This window comes from Homo sapiens, chromosome 22 (assembly GCF_000001405.40).
Source record: "Homo sapiens chromosome 22, GRCh38.p14 Primary Assembly".
Classification (NCBI taxonomy): Eukaryota; Metazoa; Chordata; class Mammalia; order Primates; family Hominidae; genus Homo; species Homo sapiens.
The window spans coordinates 32,205,393-32,224,662 of record NC_000022.11 but is presented as its reverse complement, the minus strand read 5'-3'; the positions used below and the strand labels follow the sequence as shown (position 1 = coordinate 32,224,662).

Below are 19,270 nucleotides of genomic sequence, written 5' to 3'. Positions count from 1 at the left end.
CAGCATCCAACTAAGAAGCACATGTATTTGCAATTTTCTCTATGTCGGTAACCTTGTGCCCAAGGTTAGCCATTTGTTGGTCCTTAACTGAGAAAGCAGGCAGGATTATAATGATGACTTACTTGAATAAGCTTCTCATATTTTCTAAACATTCTGATTTTCTTCTTGCTTCTTTTGCAGGGAGCATTCTGGGGTCTAATGGTTGGACTTGCAATGGGCCTCATTCGTATGATAACAGAGTTTGCTTATGGAACAGGGAGTTGCTTGGCTCCCAGTAACTGTCCCAAGATTATCTGTGGAGTGCACTATCTGTACTTTTCCATCGTTCTCTTTTTTGGGTCCATGCTGGTCACCCTGGGAATTTCCCTCTTAACAAAACCCATTCCTGATGTACATGTGAGTGATGAGTAATGAATACATGCTAATTTTAAATAAGAGTTCTTGGCCGGGCGCAGTGGCTCACGCCTGTAATCCCAGCACTTTGGGAGGCCAAGGCGGGCGGATCACGAGGTCAGGAGATGGAGACCATCCTGGTTAACACGGTGAAACCTTGTCTCTACTAAAAATACAAAAAATTAGCTGGGTGTGGTGGTGGGCACCTGTAATCCCAGCTGCTCGGGAGGCTGAGGCAGGAGAATGGCGTGAACCTGGGAGGCGGAGCTTGCAGTGAGCCAAGATCGGGCCACTGCACTCCAACCTGGGTGACAGAGCGAGACACTGTCTCAAAAAAAAAAAGAGTTCCTTGCCTTTTATTGTATGCATGTATGAGTTCCAGGAAATGTATTCATTGTACCTCTAGAGCTAGAAGAACCCTAAGAGATTATCATTCAGTCACTGAAATAAAGAACAATTTGCACCTAGTATGTGCAAAGCACCAGTGAATTAAAAAGTAAGGGATTAGAAAATGGACATTATATTTTGTAAACTTCACAGAGTAGTTGGGAAGTCAATCTACAGCATTGTCATAGGACACCAGGAAGAGAATAATTGGTGTTTCCAAAGACACTGGGAAAGACTTCACAGCAGAGCTGTCATCTGGGCTGTGCCTGTTTGGGTCAATAGGATTTCATATACAGCATGAACACTGACTGGCACAGAGATGGGGGGAAAGTACATGGTACCAGGGGGCAGGAAAAGAAAGAATAGAATAATGAGATGCATTTTTGCCTTTCAATTTGGCAAAAATGTTTAATATGAATAATATTTAATGTTAGTGGTTGATATTAGTGTTGTGGGAAAATTCCCACAGTCCAAAACTGTTGGAGAGTGCGTAGATTTTGTAATTTATAGTAAAGCAATTGGGTAGTATTTATGGATAAATACTTATGAATACTTATGAAACAACAATCCCAGTTTTAGGAGCTTACTGTGTATAAATACTTGTTCAAGTAGGAAAAATATGTGTATAAGGATTTTCTCTGCAAAAGTTTTCAAATAGGAAATAGCTGGGAGAAAATCCAGATTTCATCATGAAAGGAATGAGCACACAAACACAGGGCACTGAACATTATGCAGCTGTTTAGAAACATGAGGGAGCTCTATTATTCACTTTGGAAAAAAATGTTCATAATATGGTTAAGTGGAAAAATATGTGCAGAATAATATAATAATGTATAATAGCGCTTTCTGAAATAAAACACATGTAGGCATATAGATGTTTGTCTAAGCATACAAAAAAAAATCTTAGAGCATATCCACCTAAGATTTTCAACAAGAGGCATCTCAGGGAGTGGGGAGACACTCTAGGGGCCCAGCAAATATTAACTAATTATTTTTAAAATATAAATACTGCTTATATACTAATACTGTTTGAATTGTTTGAATTTATGACTAAACATGTGTAGCTTTTATGTATTTTGAATTTATCACTCACAATTTTTGAAGCAATGCTTCTTTATATATTTTCCTGAGAAGTGGCCAGTAGATTATGTGTGGATGGGAAACCTGAAATACAGCACAGCTCAAAATGTTTTACGAAGGACATGTCACTGAAATTCCTAACTAAATATTTACGCTGAATATTGAGTTAGATGAAAGAACACTAGAAAACATATCATAGTTTTTAAATATATATATGTTAAATTCTTATTTGCCAGTAGAAGTAACCAATTTTATTACTAATTTTTAGGAAAAAAATATTGTCTGAAGGACCAGTGAGACCATTTTTCTGATTTATGTTAATGTCTCATTAATATGCTGCAAGGTTTAACTTTCAAAATAGACTGATAAATATCATGGTTATTTCAGAGAAAGTCATGAAAACTGTTGTGAATCTAGCCTACCAGTGCAGAAATGAGATGTCCCAGGATGATAGTCTTTCAGCAAAACTAGAAATTACTCTATGTGTAATTAAACAGAAATTGAAGGACTCCCAAGAAGAGAGTTTTTAACAAAGAAAGTGGATCTAATACAAGAAATCCTGTGAATAAGAGCTTATGAAGACATGATTAGGAATCTTAGTGAGAAGGTAAAGGCATATGTTACATCAAGAACAAATAAAACCAATTACAAATTCTAGTAAATTTGTACAAGAAAGTCATGAGCCAAATTAAAATGAGGTATAACTTAGAATATGATAGATTATAAAGGTTTAAAAACCATTGATAGGCTGGGCGCAGTGGCTCACGCCTGTCATCCCAGCACTTTGGGAGGCCAAGGTGGGTGGATCATCTGAGGTCAGGAGTTTAAAACCAGCCTGGCCAAAAACATAGTGAAACCCTGTCTCTACTCAAAATACAAAGATTAGCCGGGCATGGTGGCAGTCACCTTTAGTAACCCCAGCTACTCGTGAGGCTGAGGCAGGAGAATTGCTTGAGCCCAGGAGGCGGAGGTTGCAGTGAGCCAAGATCGCACCATTGCACTCCAGCTGGGCAACAAGATGGAAACTCCTTCTTATTGAAAACAAAACAAACAAACAAAAAAAAAACATTGATACTTGGAGCAATTTCCTTAGAATGACCCAGGGCTGATATTTACTTGTGTCCAATCAGTACATACAGCATCAATTCTATTTATTTTCAAATGCTTAAATCAACATACAGACTAACCATGGAAATCTTAATATATTTACAGAAAATAATAATTATATAAAGCATAATAGTTTAAAATAATGGTATAGCTGACAGAAGTTTGGAGATGGTTTAGGAAAAGGAGTGTGTAAGGGTACTAATTGCAACTGGAATTCAATAGTACATAGATACCAGCCAAATGTGATGGATCCAGAAATAGAATTTAAGAAGATAGTTTGAAAGTTATAAAAGCAACCACTAGATAAACTGAAGGAAATCATGATGTGGCTAATAACTGTTGGATGTTAAGGACAATGAGTGAAGCTGGGGTATAGTGTAGGTTAGCTAAATCTTCAACTTTGCTGAAATTACAAATCCAGAAGTAGGTATTTTTAAGTATATCATTTGAAGTTCTAAATAGCAACCAGAAAGAATTAAAAACAGAAAAAAATTTAAAATGATTAGTGTGTTTTGATGAGTGAGTGTGGTAGGAGGCCTTTTCTTTGTGATCTATATTCTCCTGTATGGTTTGATTTTTTAAAAACACCAGACGATAAACAAAGGTACCATTCTATTATACTATTGCAAACATTTGCCTATTACTAATGCACTTTTGTATGGTCCCTGTTCAGCTGTACCGCCTGTGCTGGGTTCTTCGGAACAGTACAGAGGAGCGAATCGATATAGATGCAGAAGAGAAAAGTCAGGAAGAAACAGATGATGGTGTTGAAGAAGGTAATATTTGGTTTACATTTGGTTTTCATGTAGGAACTCTGTGCACAGGCTTGTTTATGGTTTTCTTTTAATGTCATTAAATCCAGCTTCCGAAAAGGCTGTTAGATTTATGACAAACTGAAACTTTAAATTTTTACCTTTCCAAAAACCAAGACAACATATTAAATCCATCTATTCATCTGCCTGTCCATTGGTTGGTTTGTCCACCCATCATCCATCCATAGTTACTGAGATGACAGTTACAGACTCGCCTGTTCCTAGTTACATAGTAAGTGTTCAATCTTGATTGTCTGCAAATAAGCATCTAGCCCCACCTTCTCTCCAACTTTACTTCTCAGTATTTTCTCTAACATACCCTCTATTCCAGGCAGACAGGTTTTCTCACTTTTCCACATGCGCCAAGCTCCCTAGAATATTTCTACCTCCTGTCCAAGGGGAAAAAAAATGCTTATTCTTTAAAACTAAGTTCTAATCTCACTTCCTTCATGAAAATTTCTCCATCAGTCATCCCCCTGGCTCTTTGTTTACCTAATGTTTTTTAAACCTCAGATAAGGTTTAGCACTTCACAATATGTTGTCTTAAACTGGACAATAATTGTCTGTTTTGGTTTGGTTTCTTCAAAGTGAAGAGTCAGTGCTTTCTGTTCCTTTTGATTTTTTATATCAGCATTCCTGAGTATGACTGGCCTATCATTTTCTGGTTTTGTACTAAGTCTTTGGTTTTGGTATTCAGATCATAGAGTTATCATAGCATGAATCAGAAATTAGCCCATTTTTCCATTTTATGAAAATATTTCAATAAGATTGAAATAATGTTGCCATTGAATTTTGGTATTTTGCCAATAATACCATAAGGGCTGTGTGTGTGTGTGTGTGTGTGTGTGTGTTGCACATCTTAATTACTGATCAAATTTATATAATGGCTATAGAACTATTTAGAGTTTCCATTTTTTCATTAATTGTTTTTGGAAAATTATACATTTCTAGGATTGTGCCCATTTAGTGCACATTTTAAATATATTGGCATAAAGTTATTCATAGTGTCTACTTATCCATCTATGCTGCCTCTATAGTTGTGTTATCCTTTCAATCTCTAGTATATTTTGTGATTTATCGTTTTTCTTAATCTTACTAAAGATTTGTCTAGTTTGCTTTTCTCAAAGAACTAACTTCTGGCTTTGTCATTTCTATTATTTTCCTTCTTTTCTATTTCATCCTTTCTGTTTTTATTTGTATTCTCTTCCATTTACATTATTTAGGTTTATTCTTTTTTTTTTTTTTTTTTTTTTGCTAAGTTGGATATTAACTCATTCATTTCCGGTAAATCTGGAAATTTTACTTTTCTTTTGATTTTTCTTTCTCTTTTCTACATAAATAAGACCATATACATTTCCCTCAAAGTAATACTGTTTTAAATCTCACAGCTTTTAATTTGTATAATTTTCATTATCATTTCTTTTTAAATATAATCTTACGTTAATTGTGATTTTTATAAACATTTGAGTTTAGAAGTATTAAATTTTCCAGTGCTGCAACAGATAGCCATATACATGAGTCTTTCTGTATTTTTGCCAGTGTAAGCTGGGGATAGATTTTGTGGAGTTCCGTTGTTGGGTCAAAGGGTTCATGCCTATATGATTTTGCAATACGCTACTAATTCCCCTCCATAGGGGACTTGCTTCCCTAGCAACAATATAGAAGAGTGCCTGTTTCCACGCAAACTCACTAACACAGTATGTTGTGAAACTTCTGTATTTTTCCCACTAATAGATGAGAAAGTGGTATAGGTTTAGTTTACATTTCTCTTTTTTGAGTGAGCTTGAGAACCATGTGTCTTTTTTCTTTCAACTGTTTATTCATCTCTCTAATATGCTGACATGGGGCTGTTGATAGCCTTTTCTTACCTATTTTTAGAAACCCATTATATATTAAAGATATTAAACCCTTTGTAATAGAATATGCGAACGTTTCCCCCATTTTGTCATTTGTTTTTACTTTGTTTATTGAACTTCGTGCCATGCAAAAGTCGCCTGTTTTTATATGATTAAATTTATCTACATTTTCTCAGGGATTCCTCTTAACACTCCCAGCTGATTGTAATCATTTTTTACAGTCATAGGTACTACACTGACAAGGATTTCTAGTTCCTTTGTGATCTAGATCTTCTGCAATCATTTGCTTATCTTTGTTCCAGATTATCCTGAGAAATCACGTGGATGCCTCAAGAAAGCTTATGACTTGTTCTGCGGTTTGCAGAAGGGACCCAAGCTAACCAAGGAGGAGGAGGAAGCCTTGAGCAAGAAGCTCACAGACACGTCTGAGAGGCCCTCGTGGAGGACAATAGTGAACATCAACGCCATCCTCCTCCTGGCTGTGGTGGTCTTTATTCACGGCTACTATGCCTGAACTCTATCTGAGCCATTAGAATAATGAATAATTCTTAATAATGAACCAAAGGATAATTTTAGTGATTTTAATTTTTTTTTTTTTTTTTTTTTTTTTTTTTTTTTTTTGAGAGGGAGTCTTGCTCTTTCTCCCAGGCTGGAGTGCCGTGGCGCTATCTCGGCTCACTGCAAGCTCCGCCTCCCGGGTTCACGCCATTCTCCTGCCTCAGCCTCCCGAGTAGCTGGGACTACAGGCGCCCGCCACCACGCCCGGCTAATTTTTTGTATTTTTAATAGAGACGAGGTTTCACTGTGTTAGGCAGGATTGTCTCGATCTCCTGACCTCGTGATCCACCTGCCTCGGCCTCCCAAAGTGCTGGGATTACAAGCGTGAGCCACTGTGCCCGGCCATTTTCATGTTATAGTATGTTGTGTGGCAAAAAAAAAAAAAAAAAATGAGCAGTTGGTAATTTTATCTAATGAGATGACTACAGACTTGATATTTTGCTTTTGTTGCTCCTTTGTGTCACTAAGAGTTGATAATTTATAAAACTGTGAAGTGACCTCTACGTGTGCAAACAAGACACACAGGTCTAAATTCTATTTTTCCAGCTTTATTGAGGTATAGTAAACAAATGAAAATGGTTTATATTTAGGATGTACAACGTGATGATTTGATATATGTATACATTCTGAAACAGTAACCACAATCAAGTTAACTAACACATCTGTCACCTCACATGTTTACCTTTTCTGTGTGTGTGGTGAGAACAACTGATAGACTCTTAGTAAATTGCAAGCACACAATACAGTATCATTAGCTACAGTCACCATGCTATCCTTTGCACCCTCAGAATATATTCATCTTATGAATGTTTGTACTCTGACTAATACCTCCCCAGTTACCTACCCCTTCGCCCCAGGCAACCATCATCTACTCTCTGCTTCTATGAGTTCAACTTTTCATTGCAGCACTGTTCACAAGAGCTAAGATACAGAAACAATTTAAGTGTGCTGTGATGGATGAATGATGAGAATGTTGTATATATACATAATGGAATACGATTCAGAACTAAAAATGAAGGAAATCCTGCCACTTGCAACAATGTGGATGAACCTGCAGAACATTATGCTAAGTGAAATAAGCCAGACACAGAAAGACAAATGCTATAGGATCTCACTTATATGTGAAGCCTTAAAAAGAAAATGACCAGGTGATATGGTTTGGCTGTATCCCCACCCAACTCTCATCATGGATTGTAGTTCCCATAATCTCCACGCGTTGTGGGAAGGACCTGGTGGGAGGTAATTGAATTGTGAGGGCGGTTATCCCCGTGCTGCTGCTGTTGTGATCGTGAGTTCTCATGAGATCTGATGGTTTCTGATGGTTTTATAAGGGGCTTCCCCCTACTTCGCTTTGCACTTCTTTCTCTCGCCGCCTTGTGAAGAAGGACGTGTTTACTTCCCCTTCCACCATGCTTGTAAGTTTCCTGAGGCCTCCTCAGCCATGCTGAACTGCGGGTCCATTAAACCTCTTTCCTTTATAAATCACCCAGTCTTGGGTATGTCTTTATTAGCAGTGTGAGAACAGACTAATACACCAGGCAAATTTCCCTACCTCATACTTGCTTTCTGAAGTTTCCAGAGATTTCCATTTGAAAAGAATGCCTCTTCCAACTCTGCCTCACCTAGTAACCTTCTCATCTACACCACAGTGACTTCTCCTGTGAAGCGACCTTCACTCAGTTATTTCAAGGATTTAAAATATAAAAATGTTTTCTAATAGTTGACAGGGGGGTGAACTAGAAATATCCATTGTAAATATCTTTTAAATATACTGGAAATTATTGCTTACATCTTAAAGCCATTTGTCACTGAATACTAAAACATCAAACCATTGATTTTTAACTGCTTCATTAAAATATAATTCACATACTATAAAATGTATCTATTTAAAGCATATAATTCAGTGTATTTTAATATATTCACAGAGTTTTGCAACAATTATCACAATCCAATTTTAGATATTAACATTTATTGGCATCCTTGAATATACGTATTTCTCTGTCTTTATTTCTGTTTTAACACAGTGAATGACAATTATCTCTATGTAGAATTGTAGAGAGGTTTAAGACACACCTTTTTGTAAGCAAGTCAACAAACTAAAATATGTTTTAATAAATTACGTAAGAAACATGGAAGAGGGCCGGGCGCGGTGGCTCACACCTGTAATCCCAGCACTTTGGGAGGATGAGGCGGGCAGATGACGAGGTCAGGAGTTCGAGAGCAGCCCGGCCAACATAGTGAAATTCTGTCTCTACTAAAAATACAAAAAATTAGCTGGGCGTGGTGGCACACGCCTGTAGTCGCAGCTACTCAGGAGGCTGAGGCAGGAGAATCGTTTGAACCTGGGAGGCGGAGGTTGCAGTGAGCCGAGACCGCAGCACTGCACTCCAGCCTGGGTGACAGAGTGAGACTCCATCTCAAAAAAGAAACATGGAAGAGAGAGCACTTTCAGCACATGCTGGAGACTGTCTCTTCCTGGGTAAAAATAATAAAAATTAAAGAAACATATCCATCATATTGTTATAAAAATTCAAACAATGCCCTTGGGTCTGTAGAATTAAATATAATACTCTTCACTGACAACCTAATCCTCTCATCTACTGTCACTAACTTCCCAAAGAAGTGTTGACAAGTTAAAGCATATGTTCTAGTAAGTAATTTTTCTATTAATTTATATACATATGTAAACATACACATACATTTACAAAATGCAATCTTCCTTTATGTGTTATTTTGTGACTGGCTTTTACACATAAAATATATCTTGGAGATCTTTGCCTATCTGTACAAATAGATCTCCCTCATTCTTCTTATAGCTGCACTATTGTTCCATAGGATAGTTCACTATAATTTGGCCACTTTTCTACTAAGGAGCATTCATGTTGGTTTCAATTATTTGCTATTATCTACAATACTCAAATAGACATACCTGTATATTCATCTTTTGACATATTTGCTAGTTTTATTTTCTTTATTTTCCTAGAAATGGAATACTGGAGCAAAGTGTACAAGCATTAATATTTTGATTAAAAATTATGTTTCAAAAAGGATTTGCCAATTTATATTCTCATCAGTATATGAGAGTTTTTATTTACTCACATGCTTGACTACAGGGTATATTACCAATCATAGTGAATTTTTGTCAATTTGATGATTGAAAAATAGTTTCATTTTTTAAATTGGTATTTCTCCACTTACTAGTGAGATTGTATATATTTGCATGTATTTATTAGCTATTCATATTTTTTCTGTGAATTACTTGATATCCTTTACCAATTCTCTAATTCATTTACAGATATTCTTTACATATTCTATATATTTATTATTTGCATATGAATAGCAAGTATTTTGTCTTAAAGTCTATGTCTTGCCTTGTAACTTTATGTTGTCTTTTATTGTACAGAAGCTTTAATTTATATTTAGTCAAATTGTTTCTTTTTCTCTTATGACTTCTGGGTTTTGTGACTTACTTTCAATTGTCTTTTCAGGGTTTTGTTGTCTGTTTTGTTTGAAATGACATACTGAAATCCTACATTATATTGCAATTTACTTTTTTCTCTTTATACTGCATTGTGGACATTACTAAGCCTAACTAATGTAGATCAAATGTATTTATTTTAATTTCTGCCTAATTTATAATATTGAATGTATTTTATTTCCTTAGCAATTCCCGCTTTTTCTTTTCTTTCTTTCTTTCTTTTTTTTTTTTAAGACAAGTTCTTGCTCTGTCACCCAAGCTGAAATGCAGTGGCACTATCATGGTTTGCTGCAGCCTGCAATTCCTGGGCCCAGTGATTCAGTAAGGCCAGAAATTAAAAGAACAACTTCTGGGCCAAAGAAATCCTCCTGCCTCTGCCTTCCAAGTATCTGGGACTACAGGCACATGCCACCACACCCTATTTTTTTCAGAGATGGGATCTTGCCATGTTGCCCAGGCTGGTCTTGAACTCCTGACTTCAAGTTACTCACCTCAGCCTCCCAAAGCGCTGGGATTACAGGCATGAGCCACTGCATCCAGCCAACAATTCCCCTTCAGATGGACATTCAAGTTAAGTACTCTTTGCCACCACAAATAGTGTTGTAGCAATCATCTTTTACACTGGATGGTTTCATTTCTACAGGACAGAATCTTTGTAGTGGTATAACTTAGCCATAGCTATGTTTACTTACACTTTTAATAGATACTGATTAGTTACTTTCCAAAAAGTTGAAGCAATTCACATTCCCATCAACAGGGAACAAGCAGGAGGACCGTTTCCCCTGCAGGCTCAGTAGCAACAAAAGTTGTTGCTTTTTCAAAAAATATATATATCTTGCTAATTCCCTTGGTGAAAAATCTCACAGGAGTGCTAACTAATCAGTTATTTTAACTTCAATTAGTTGCCTATTTATAACCTTTTCCTATTTTTCTATCAAGTGGTTTAAGGTGAGGAACATTCTTAAAACAGGAAACCTAAAAATAATAAACACATTTTGTATATCAAAAGGCAGTGCAAATGAAATTGAAAATGTGGAGTCCAAAAGATATTACAAAACAGGAAAAAAAGAGCTCCCATAAATAAATGAGAAAGAGACAAGTAAGCCTAACTGTTGAACTGCATTTGGATAGGAAGAAACAGACTTGGGCTTCCCTGCTATATATATAGATATATATGTATACATATATAGATATATATATCCATATATATGTATAGATATATATGTATACATATATAGATATATATCCATATATATGTATAGATATATATGTATACATATATAGATATATACATATATGTATAGATATATATGTATACATATATAGATATATACATATATGTATAGATATATATGTATACATATATGTATACATATATAGATATATATGTATACATATATGTATATATATACACACATACATATATAGTGTGTATATATATAGTGTGTGTATATATAGTGTGTATATATAGTGTGTGTATATATATATATAGTGTGTGTGTGTGTGTGTGTGTGTGTGTATATATATAATATAACCTCCTTGGAATAGACAATGTCTTCATACAGAGGACACAAAAATTACCAATCATAGGAGAAAAAAGCAATATATTGAACTACATCAAAATTGAAAACTTCTAGCCAACAAAAGTCACCTTAAAGGAAATGACCAAACAACCCACAAAATAACTGAAAATACTTAGAGTACGCACACGTCTGACAAAGGAGTTGTATCCGGAATAAAAAGACCAACAGGCCAACTTTAAAACTCAAAAAAAAAAATGACACTTGGAGAAGAGCTTCAAGGTGACTGACTAGAGGTGCCCAACATTCGTCTCCTCCACAAAGAAGGAGCAAAACAGATAATCACATGTCAAATAGAGCATCTAACAGAGAATGCTGGAATTCAGCGGGGAAGTGACAGAACCATCCGAGATATGGAAGGAGAGAAAAGCAAGACCAGATGAGCTCCCCAGTGCAGGGGAAAAGGTAAGTGAGAGATTCCCAGGGGTCCACATTCCCACCACAGATTCCTGCAACCCTGGCCATGGGAGAGCCCCTCAGCTCTTGTGGGCCCTGAGACAGCATAGGATGCTGCCTGTACTTGTCCACGCAATGGCATTGTTCCAGAGGGAGTCGTGCTGGGTACCACACACACACTTTAGATCCAAGAAGCTCCAGCACGTGCCATTTTGAGAGCCCAGACCCCATGAGGATTGCCTCTTGCCCTGGGGCCCAACAGCCCTGCATCTCCACATCCCTAGAGCCCCCCTGACATCTCCCCTTATCCACTTAGAGGGCTACAGCAGCATGATGCCGGCTAGACCAGCGGTTTGACCGCGTCTCCAGCACTCTAGCCCACACAAGAGTCCTACACCCCAGGGAATGGGCAATGCAGTGCACCAAGGAGGCCAGCTCCATGACAAAGGAAACCCAAGTGCATGAGCCTGAGAGCCATCTGCCTGTGGCTGCTGCCACTGACAGCAACCCCACATCCCACCCCCAGCAGCAGGGCTGACACAAAATTGCACGTACCTTCATTGTGTCTGGGAACCAGCCCACCCAGATACTGTCCCAGGGCTTGAGGGAAGACTTGCCCCACTCGCCGCCGCTGCACTTCCAGGCAAGCACCTGGGAGCCTGAGGATTGTTCTGTCCCACCTGCTGCCATGGGCACAGGCAAGAACCATCAGGAGGCCCGCCAGCAGACCCAGCGCCACATTGTGACACAGGCTCATACAAAAACCCCTCCCTGGGATGCCCCTACCCCCAGCCCCCACTGCAGCTGTGAGGAAGGAAGCTCTGGCCACTCCCCCTGGTGGCATCTGCTCATTGAGTCCACACACCCCTCACCCTCACCCCCACAGATAAGGGGACAAGTGACATCCTGTGACCAGCAGCAGGATCCCTGGAGGACATCGGCGTCTTGGGTTTGGTTTTCCCACCAACCATCATGTAGTCATGGGGATGAGTTTATCAGAGGGCATTTATGCCACTAGGAGGAATTTTCATGGACAGGGATACCTGGTCTCCCTGGGGGAGTTGACTCAACACTGATTGCTTGGTGATACCATGGGGTGATGCAGACAGTACCCTCTCCCTCCAGGGAGAAGCTGGTTACCCTAGAGTGCAGTGTCCTGGGAACCTTCCCATTAACCTAGCCCTGACTCCAGGAGTTTCAGCCCCATCTTCCCAGGTCTTGACCCAGTTGGGATGGCCCTGGCCAGTGAGGCCCGGCTGGTCCCCCTCAACAAAATGGAAGCTCCATCCTTGATCCCTGGACCCCTCAATCTGGTTTTACATTGGGTAGGTCAGGTGGGGTGATGGCTACCATTTCCTTATTCAAATGGGGGACATGAGAGAGTCTCCAGGGTGTGGTCCTTAAATACCTCCTCCTCCTAAGGGAAGTGGGATCAGTGGGGGATCCCAGGCCTGGGGCAGGAAAGGGACATGACAAGACAGGACCTCTCATCCTCTGCGAAATCAGGAGCCACTGAAGCTTCCGGAGCAATGAAAGAAAATGAGGTGCCCCCTGAGGAGGTGCTCAGTGGGCAAATGTTTATGTTTTGTAGCCACATCATGATCACCAATTCAATATAACCGCAGTGGATCCCACATGTCAGATGTCCTCACATGCTGGAGCTCACTCTGGCTCTATGTTGTTCTGTTCACCCTCGAGTATGGCCGAGCACCAGATCGTCCATTATCAAAGTGGTGAATAAAAGGGAAGAAACTACTTTTCTTCCTTTTTTCCAAAGCAGGAAGCACACTCCTAGGTTCATAGCACAGCTGCTGGGCCCTCCCTTCAGCGACACACTGCAGCTCTCACGAGGAGGTGAATGGAAGCCTCAACCCTCTGTCTTCCTTTTTATCTGAAGCACAAAGTTATCGATCATCAAACACAGCTAATGTCACTAAAAGAATGATGAACATGGGTGGCTTTGCTAGAAGTAACCACATGTCCTAGGAAGCAGTTATGCCAATGTCCAGCCTGAACCCCACTGAGCCTCTTGATGCTAGAACAATTTTTCAGGAAAAGAGAAGCTAAAGGAAGCACTGGGTTCCTGCTCAGGGAGGCAGTGGCTGCATCCTGACTGTGGGAGGGTCTCAGGACCAGCTCTCTGCTCCTGCCACTCCTGCCTTGCCAGGAAAAGCCTGACAGCCATTTGGGAGACAGCTGTAGATAGAATGGGTCTAAAAACACATTCACCACTGATAACATCAAGTATTTACTCCACATAGAAACTAAAGTTAAATCCACAAATACGTAATGCACCACGAAGTCAACTAAAAATATACACAATGAAATTCACAAGACATTTGGTGAGACCCTCGTTAACTGTTTTTTCGTGTCAAGAAATCATTGATTCTCTCCATTTAAGTTTGTGATGGCTTTCGCATCTGCTTCAGACTATTGTCTGAGGGAATCGTTTACTCTGTTGTGGGTGAGTCAACATTATTTGAAAATCAAAAATTATGGGGACTCGGTGATGGGAACCTTGGGGACATTATTATTCTTTCATCTCCCTATTTTTGTGTTCAAAGATCTTCATAATAAAAATGTACAACTTATAAAAAGAGGGTGAAGCTTGGGGACAGCGTCCAGGGGTGGAGTGGACCCTGGCAATGTTCCCAGGAGGTCCATGGAGATGAGGGAGACCTGGGTGATCCCCTCTCCCATGGGCTTGACCTGTCATGTCCTGGAAATGGGTCATGCAAAGGTGAAGGGACTCTGAGATGCCTGAAATTCAGTTCAGCTCACAGCTGGGGCAGGGATGGCTGAGACTGAGCTCCACAGGGACTTTCTTTCTGCAGCATTGTGGAAAAATCCCCCAGACCTTGCGTCTCTGTCCCTGCCCTTGCTGGGCTACATCGCTGCTCTGGTGAAGGCAGCTGCCTTCACAGCTGCTGTGTCCCTGATGAACAAGAAATGGTGGGGGTCCCAGGCCCAGGCATTATGGATTGACCAAAGCAACCAAGGCCTCTGAGGGGCCAAACTCCCCACTATCAGGGACTCTAAGATGAGGGTGTCTCTGAATGAGACTGCAGGTGCCCATGGTGAGGGGGTGAGGGGACTGAACAATGGGAGGGAGGGACAGGGGGAGTGGGGCCTGGCAGGATGGGGTTGTTTGGGGCAGTTGAGACCCCTTGGATGCCTGGCCTTGCCTGTAGCCCCAAGGTCACACTCACCCTGCCCTGACCTTATGGGACCCAGTCCTGACTCTAGTCCAGAATAAGACTCTGACAGACTCCCCCCAACAACCACAGGATGCACATTCTGTGCCTGGGATGGTGCCTTTGCTCATTTGACCGGATCCTCCCCTCACACAGGCTGACCATCACAGACTCAGCCACGTACCAAGCACACACTCACTCCACCCCAGAGCCTGACTTTAGAATTAGAAACTTTATGGTTGAGATCTCAGCCACGTGCTGGTTAACTTTGGACCTCACCCTGAGTCCATGTGATTACAACTGATCATCTGTGTGCCTCAGTCTCCTCCCGAGTCCCAGAGCTAGTGACGTGAACACCAGTATCTTGTAGGAAGAAGGCACTGAGGTCCCAGAAGGAAAGTGAGGTACAGAGACCAGGCTTAAGTGACAGGAAGTGGCAGCTGTCTCAGCTGTTTTGGAAGCCTGAGAACTGACTTCCCGGTCCTAAAGTGAGGGATGCTGGCCTCATGCCCCCTCAGGCCAGGACCCTGCACTGAGTGCCTGCGGACATATTTAGACAGCACGTGGCCTCTGCTGGCACTGTCTGGGGACAGCAGAAAAGAGTACTGGGGAGTGGACATGGGAAGATTCTATGTAAAATTCAACAAAAGTGAACTTTCAAAAGAGCCCATAGGGCCCTCCCAGGCCTGCCAGGCCAGCTCACAGCTCCAGGTGGGCACCCCAAGCATCTCAGAGCCACAGAACAGCCACGGCAATGTCCCTTGGGAAGCAGCACCACTTGCCACTTGCTTTGGCTGTGACCTGCATCTCTGGTCTGCTTTCTGTGCATCTTGGCTAAAAGACAGCTGGGAAAGAGGCCACACTCTCCTCCAGGAAGAGAGGCCCAGCAGAAACTGCATTAGCCAGGCAAGCACCAGCTGCCCGACCTGCTCAGGAATAGCATGCGCCACATGCCTGACCAAAGGCCTCTCCCCAAACCCTCTTCTCCCTTGGAGACCAGGACCCTGGAGTCACTCTCTGGAGATCTGGCCAATAACCCCCTGGACCCCAGGGCTGTTTGTGGTTCCCTTGGAAGAAGAAGTAAAGGGCCCAAATGCCTGCAGCACATGCCTGGGGGCTAGACAAGGACACTGACCTGGAGAGGCCTTCCTTCACACCCTGCTGTGGGGCTTGTCGCTCTCCATGCCTTCTCTGCTGCTTCCCTGCTTGACTTCAGCCTCACAGCATGTGGGGTATAACTGGCATGAGGGGCAGGAAGGTGAGGAGGAGGTCCCTAGGCAGGTGCGTGGCTGCAGCACAGAGAGACCAGGGCTCACCGGGCCTGGTGCTTGGCATACTCAGGGGCCTGGAGGATGGGTGCATGGAGTTGGTTTGTGGGAAAAATGAGGCCTTGTTGTGGCAGGGGATGGGGAGCTGCCTGGGCGTGGCCTTCGGTCTGGCAGGGATGAACACCTCAGGATGTGCAGTACCTGGCCCTCAGTCTGCCAGAGATGAATACCCCAGGCTGTGCAGCAGCTTCGGTGTCATCCAACACCACACTGCCTAGGCAACACCTGCCCACAGTGGCTTGGACAAGACACCCCTGTCAGCCCCTGGGCTGTAAGTCAGTGGGCCAGCATCTGCCCAAGGCAGGAATCCTGGGAGGGGCTGGCCATTGTCCCTCCTGACTCAGTTGCTCTCAGCTCCCTACTGTGCCATCAGGTGCTCTCAGGACAGATGCTTCCAGGACAGGCTCTTCTACAAAAACGGGGTTGCCTCCTGGGCCTGGAGTCACACCATAGACAAGGAGGCTTTTGGGCACCTAGCCAGGGTCACTCTGCACACATCTCATGAATGAAAATCCTCATCAGAAAATACATCACCGTTCCTCCAGGATGTGACTGTTTCTAGAGAGGGCCTGGTCTCTATCTCCCACTCCCTCCTCCACATGCTACAAGAAATAGAAGCAGCAGCATAAGAAAATGAAGAGGAACAAGAAAATGATGATAAGGAGAAGAAAAGAAAAAGAACAGACAAGGGAATCAGGAGTCCTATTACAGCTTTTGTCCCCTCCCTGATTCATGAAATTTAAAAAAGCCCAAGACTATCCCAACAAAAAACAAGCAAAAAGATACACAAATAGTCACTACCCAAACTTTGTTAATAATGACACAATGCTGCCACTCACGCCTGGCTCAGGACCTACCAGGAGGAGGGCGCCCTCCAGATTCTGCAGGAGAAGCGGAGGAGACTCCTCCTTCCCCAGGCTGCGCCTCCACCGCTGCCCCAGAGGCCCACAGCTTCCTACCCACCCCAGGCCAGGCCCAGCCGGGCGGGTCAGCCCTGGAGCGCTCCTACCCGCCTTCCCAACCTCCAGACTTGCTGCTGCTGCCACCACTAGCACTGATGCCAATACAACCACTGTTCCTGTTGCCCTCAGTCCACTGGTCCACCCTACAAGGCTCCTACCACCTGGATACCACAGCAGGCCTGCCCTTGCCCAGGCAGCAGCCAGCCGCCCTCCTACTGCTCTGGCACTCTGCAGTCTCCATTGCTGCTCTCCTACCGCTCTGGTGCTCTGTAGTCTCCATCGCCACCACCAACCACAGCAAGGTGAGCTGCGGTGCCCCCAGCTCCAGCCTCCAGCATGGAATAAGTGGCTCCTCCTCCTGGCACGGAGCAACTGGGCAGGCAAAGTCAGATAAGCCTAGAACAGGATGCAGAGAGTGGTAGCATTAGAGTCTCACCTTGTCATGCTGGCCACTAGGTGGCAGGGGCCAGTTTTAGCAAAGGCACTCACACCTACCCTCCAAAGCCCAGCCTCCCTTTTTGGCCCAAGTTCACCAGGAACTGGGGCCTGGGGTGGGGACTGGAGACACCACAGTACAGCGTCCGGGCTTCCCACTCGGCACGAATCGCTGGGCCCACCCCTGGCTGCGCTCCTCAGGAAGCAGAAGCAGCAGAAACTCAACCCCAGCCAGCCCTCCCCACCCAAGTGCCGGTACCTCTTCCTGACACCTCCACCCACAGGGCCCTGTCACTCCATGATGTCCGCTACTGTGTGCCCAGGGGTCCCAGACGGTCTCAGCAACACATGGTGAGAGGGCGCGCGCCTGGGAACCACAGCAGGTCTAGGGGCCGGGCCGTGCTCAGGATCCCCGCAGAAATGCTGTGTGCTGGCCAGGAGCAGAAGGAGATGGCCCTCTAGAGACTGGAGTCCCTCTCACCTCCTCTGACCACCGCTGTCACTGACACCTCCGCTGCCCACCACCAGGGGGACGGTGCAGCCCCCGATAGCGCCCCCGACCCTCCCCCACAGCTGGCAGTGTAGCACCAGATGGCAACCCCAACCCGCCCCTGCCTCGGACACTGCAGCACCAATGGCACCCGCAACCCACCCCCTGCCTTGGGCAGCGCAGCCCGGGATAGCGCCCCCAACCCGCTCCCTGCCGTAGGCAGTGGCTGTAGACAGTGTAGCCATGGGTAGCGACCCCAACCAGACCCCTGCCGTGGGCAGTGATGCCCCGATATGGCACCCAAATCGCCCCCTACCCCGGGCAGTGCAACCCTGGATAGTGCCCCTACCTGCTCCCCACCAGGAGAAGCAGCCCAGGATAGCACCCTCAACCCACTTCCTGCCTCCAGGCAGTGCAGCCACAGATAGCACCCAAACTTACTCCCCACCTCGGGCAGTGCGGCCACAGACAGCTCACCTAAACCACCCCCTGCCAAGGGCAGTGTAGCCCCCTATAGTGCACCCAACCTGCCCCTGCTGCAGCCAGTGCAGCCCCAGATAGCACACCCACCCGCTCCCTGCTAGGCAGTACAGACCCCTGATAGCACCCAACCCACCCCTCCACCGCAGGCAGTGTACCCGGCCCTCAATAGCGCCCCCAACCAACGCCCCCACCCCCTCTCCATGGGCAGTCCAGCCCCGGTACCAATCCCAACAACCCCCCGCTACCTGTCTCAGTGTAGCCCCCAGAGAGCGCCCTCAACAACCCCCTCCCCACTGCCAGCAGTGTAGCACCCTATAGTGACCCTAACCCGTCCCCCACCACCAGCATTGCAGCCCCAAATAGTGCCCCCAACCCGCTCCCCACTGTGGGCAGTGCAGCCATGGATAGTGTCCCCAACCAGCTCCCAGATGCAGGCAATGATGCCCTGGATATCACGCCCGCCCCCGTCCCCCACAGGCAGAGTAGCACCGGATAGCAGCACCCACCCTCGCCACCAGCAGTGTTGCACCCACCAGCCCCCCACAACCTGTCCCCAACAAGGGCATCAGGGCATTGCAGCACCTGATAGTTCTACTAACTCACCCCCGCCCCCCGGCCGCGGGCAGTGCATCCCCAGATAGTGCCCCCAAAACTCCCCACTGCCGCAGGAATTACAGCTTCGGATAGCGCCCCAACCCATCTCCAGCCATAGGCTGGATAGCGCCCCCGGA

At 44.1% G+C, this 19,270-nt stretch overlaps 1 protein-coding gene and 1 long non-coding RNA gene across 7 annotated transcripts in view, besides 2 other annotated features; one reads left to right on the top strand and one right to left on the bottom strand.

The window, feature by feature from the left end:
- SLC5A4 (solute carrier family 5 member 4) overlaps positions 1-6,199 on the top strand; it is a 136,600-nt gene extending 130,401 nt beyond the window's left edge. For all 6 annotated transcript variants that reach the window (XM_017028920.2, XM_006724308.4, XM_011530342.3 and 3 more), the window contains 3 exons: positions 181-396; positions 3,641-3,743; positions 5,938-6,199. In XM_017028920.2, coding sequence (XP_016884409.1) covers positions 181-396; positions 3,641-3,743; positions 5,938-6,149 — 531 coding nt within the window. In that variant the 3' untranslated portion in view covers positions 6,150-6,199. The remainder of the gene's footprint in view (positions 1-180; positions 397-3,640; positions 3,744-5,937) is intronic.
- Positions 1-19,270, bottom strand: part of SLC5A4-AS1 (SLC5A4 antisense RNA 1) — a 68,501-nt gene that overhangs the window by 48,953 nt on the left and 278 nt on the right. The window contains exon 2 of the long non-coding RNA NR_149072.1: positions 17,387-17,527. This is a non-coding gene — a long non-coding RNA (SLC5A4 antisense RNA 1). The remainder of the gene's footprint in view (positions 1-17,386; positions 17,528-19,270) is intronic.
- Positions 12,060-12,561: an enhancer, noted in NCBI's record as "H3K4me1 hESC enhancer chr22:32608089-32608590 (GRCh37/hg19 assembly coordinates)". NCBI's record gives its function as "activates a minimal SCP1, AML or CMV promoter by ChIP-STARR-seq in primed H9 embryonic stem cells {active_cell/tissue: H9 hESC(primed)}" and the evidence as "EXISTENCE:reporter gene assay evidence [ECO:0000049][PMID:30033119]".
- Positions 17,416-18,146: an enhancer, noted in NCBI's record as "H3K27ac-H3K4me1 hESC enhancer chr22:32602504-32603234 (GRCh37/hg19 assembly coordinates)". NCBI's record gives its function as "activates a minimal SCP1, AML or CMV promoter by ChIP-STARR-seq in primed H9 embryonic stem cells {active_cell/tissue: H9 hESC(primed)}" and the evidence as "EXISTENCE:reporter gene assay evidence [ECO:0000049][PMID:30033119]".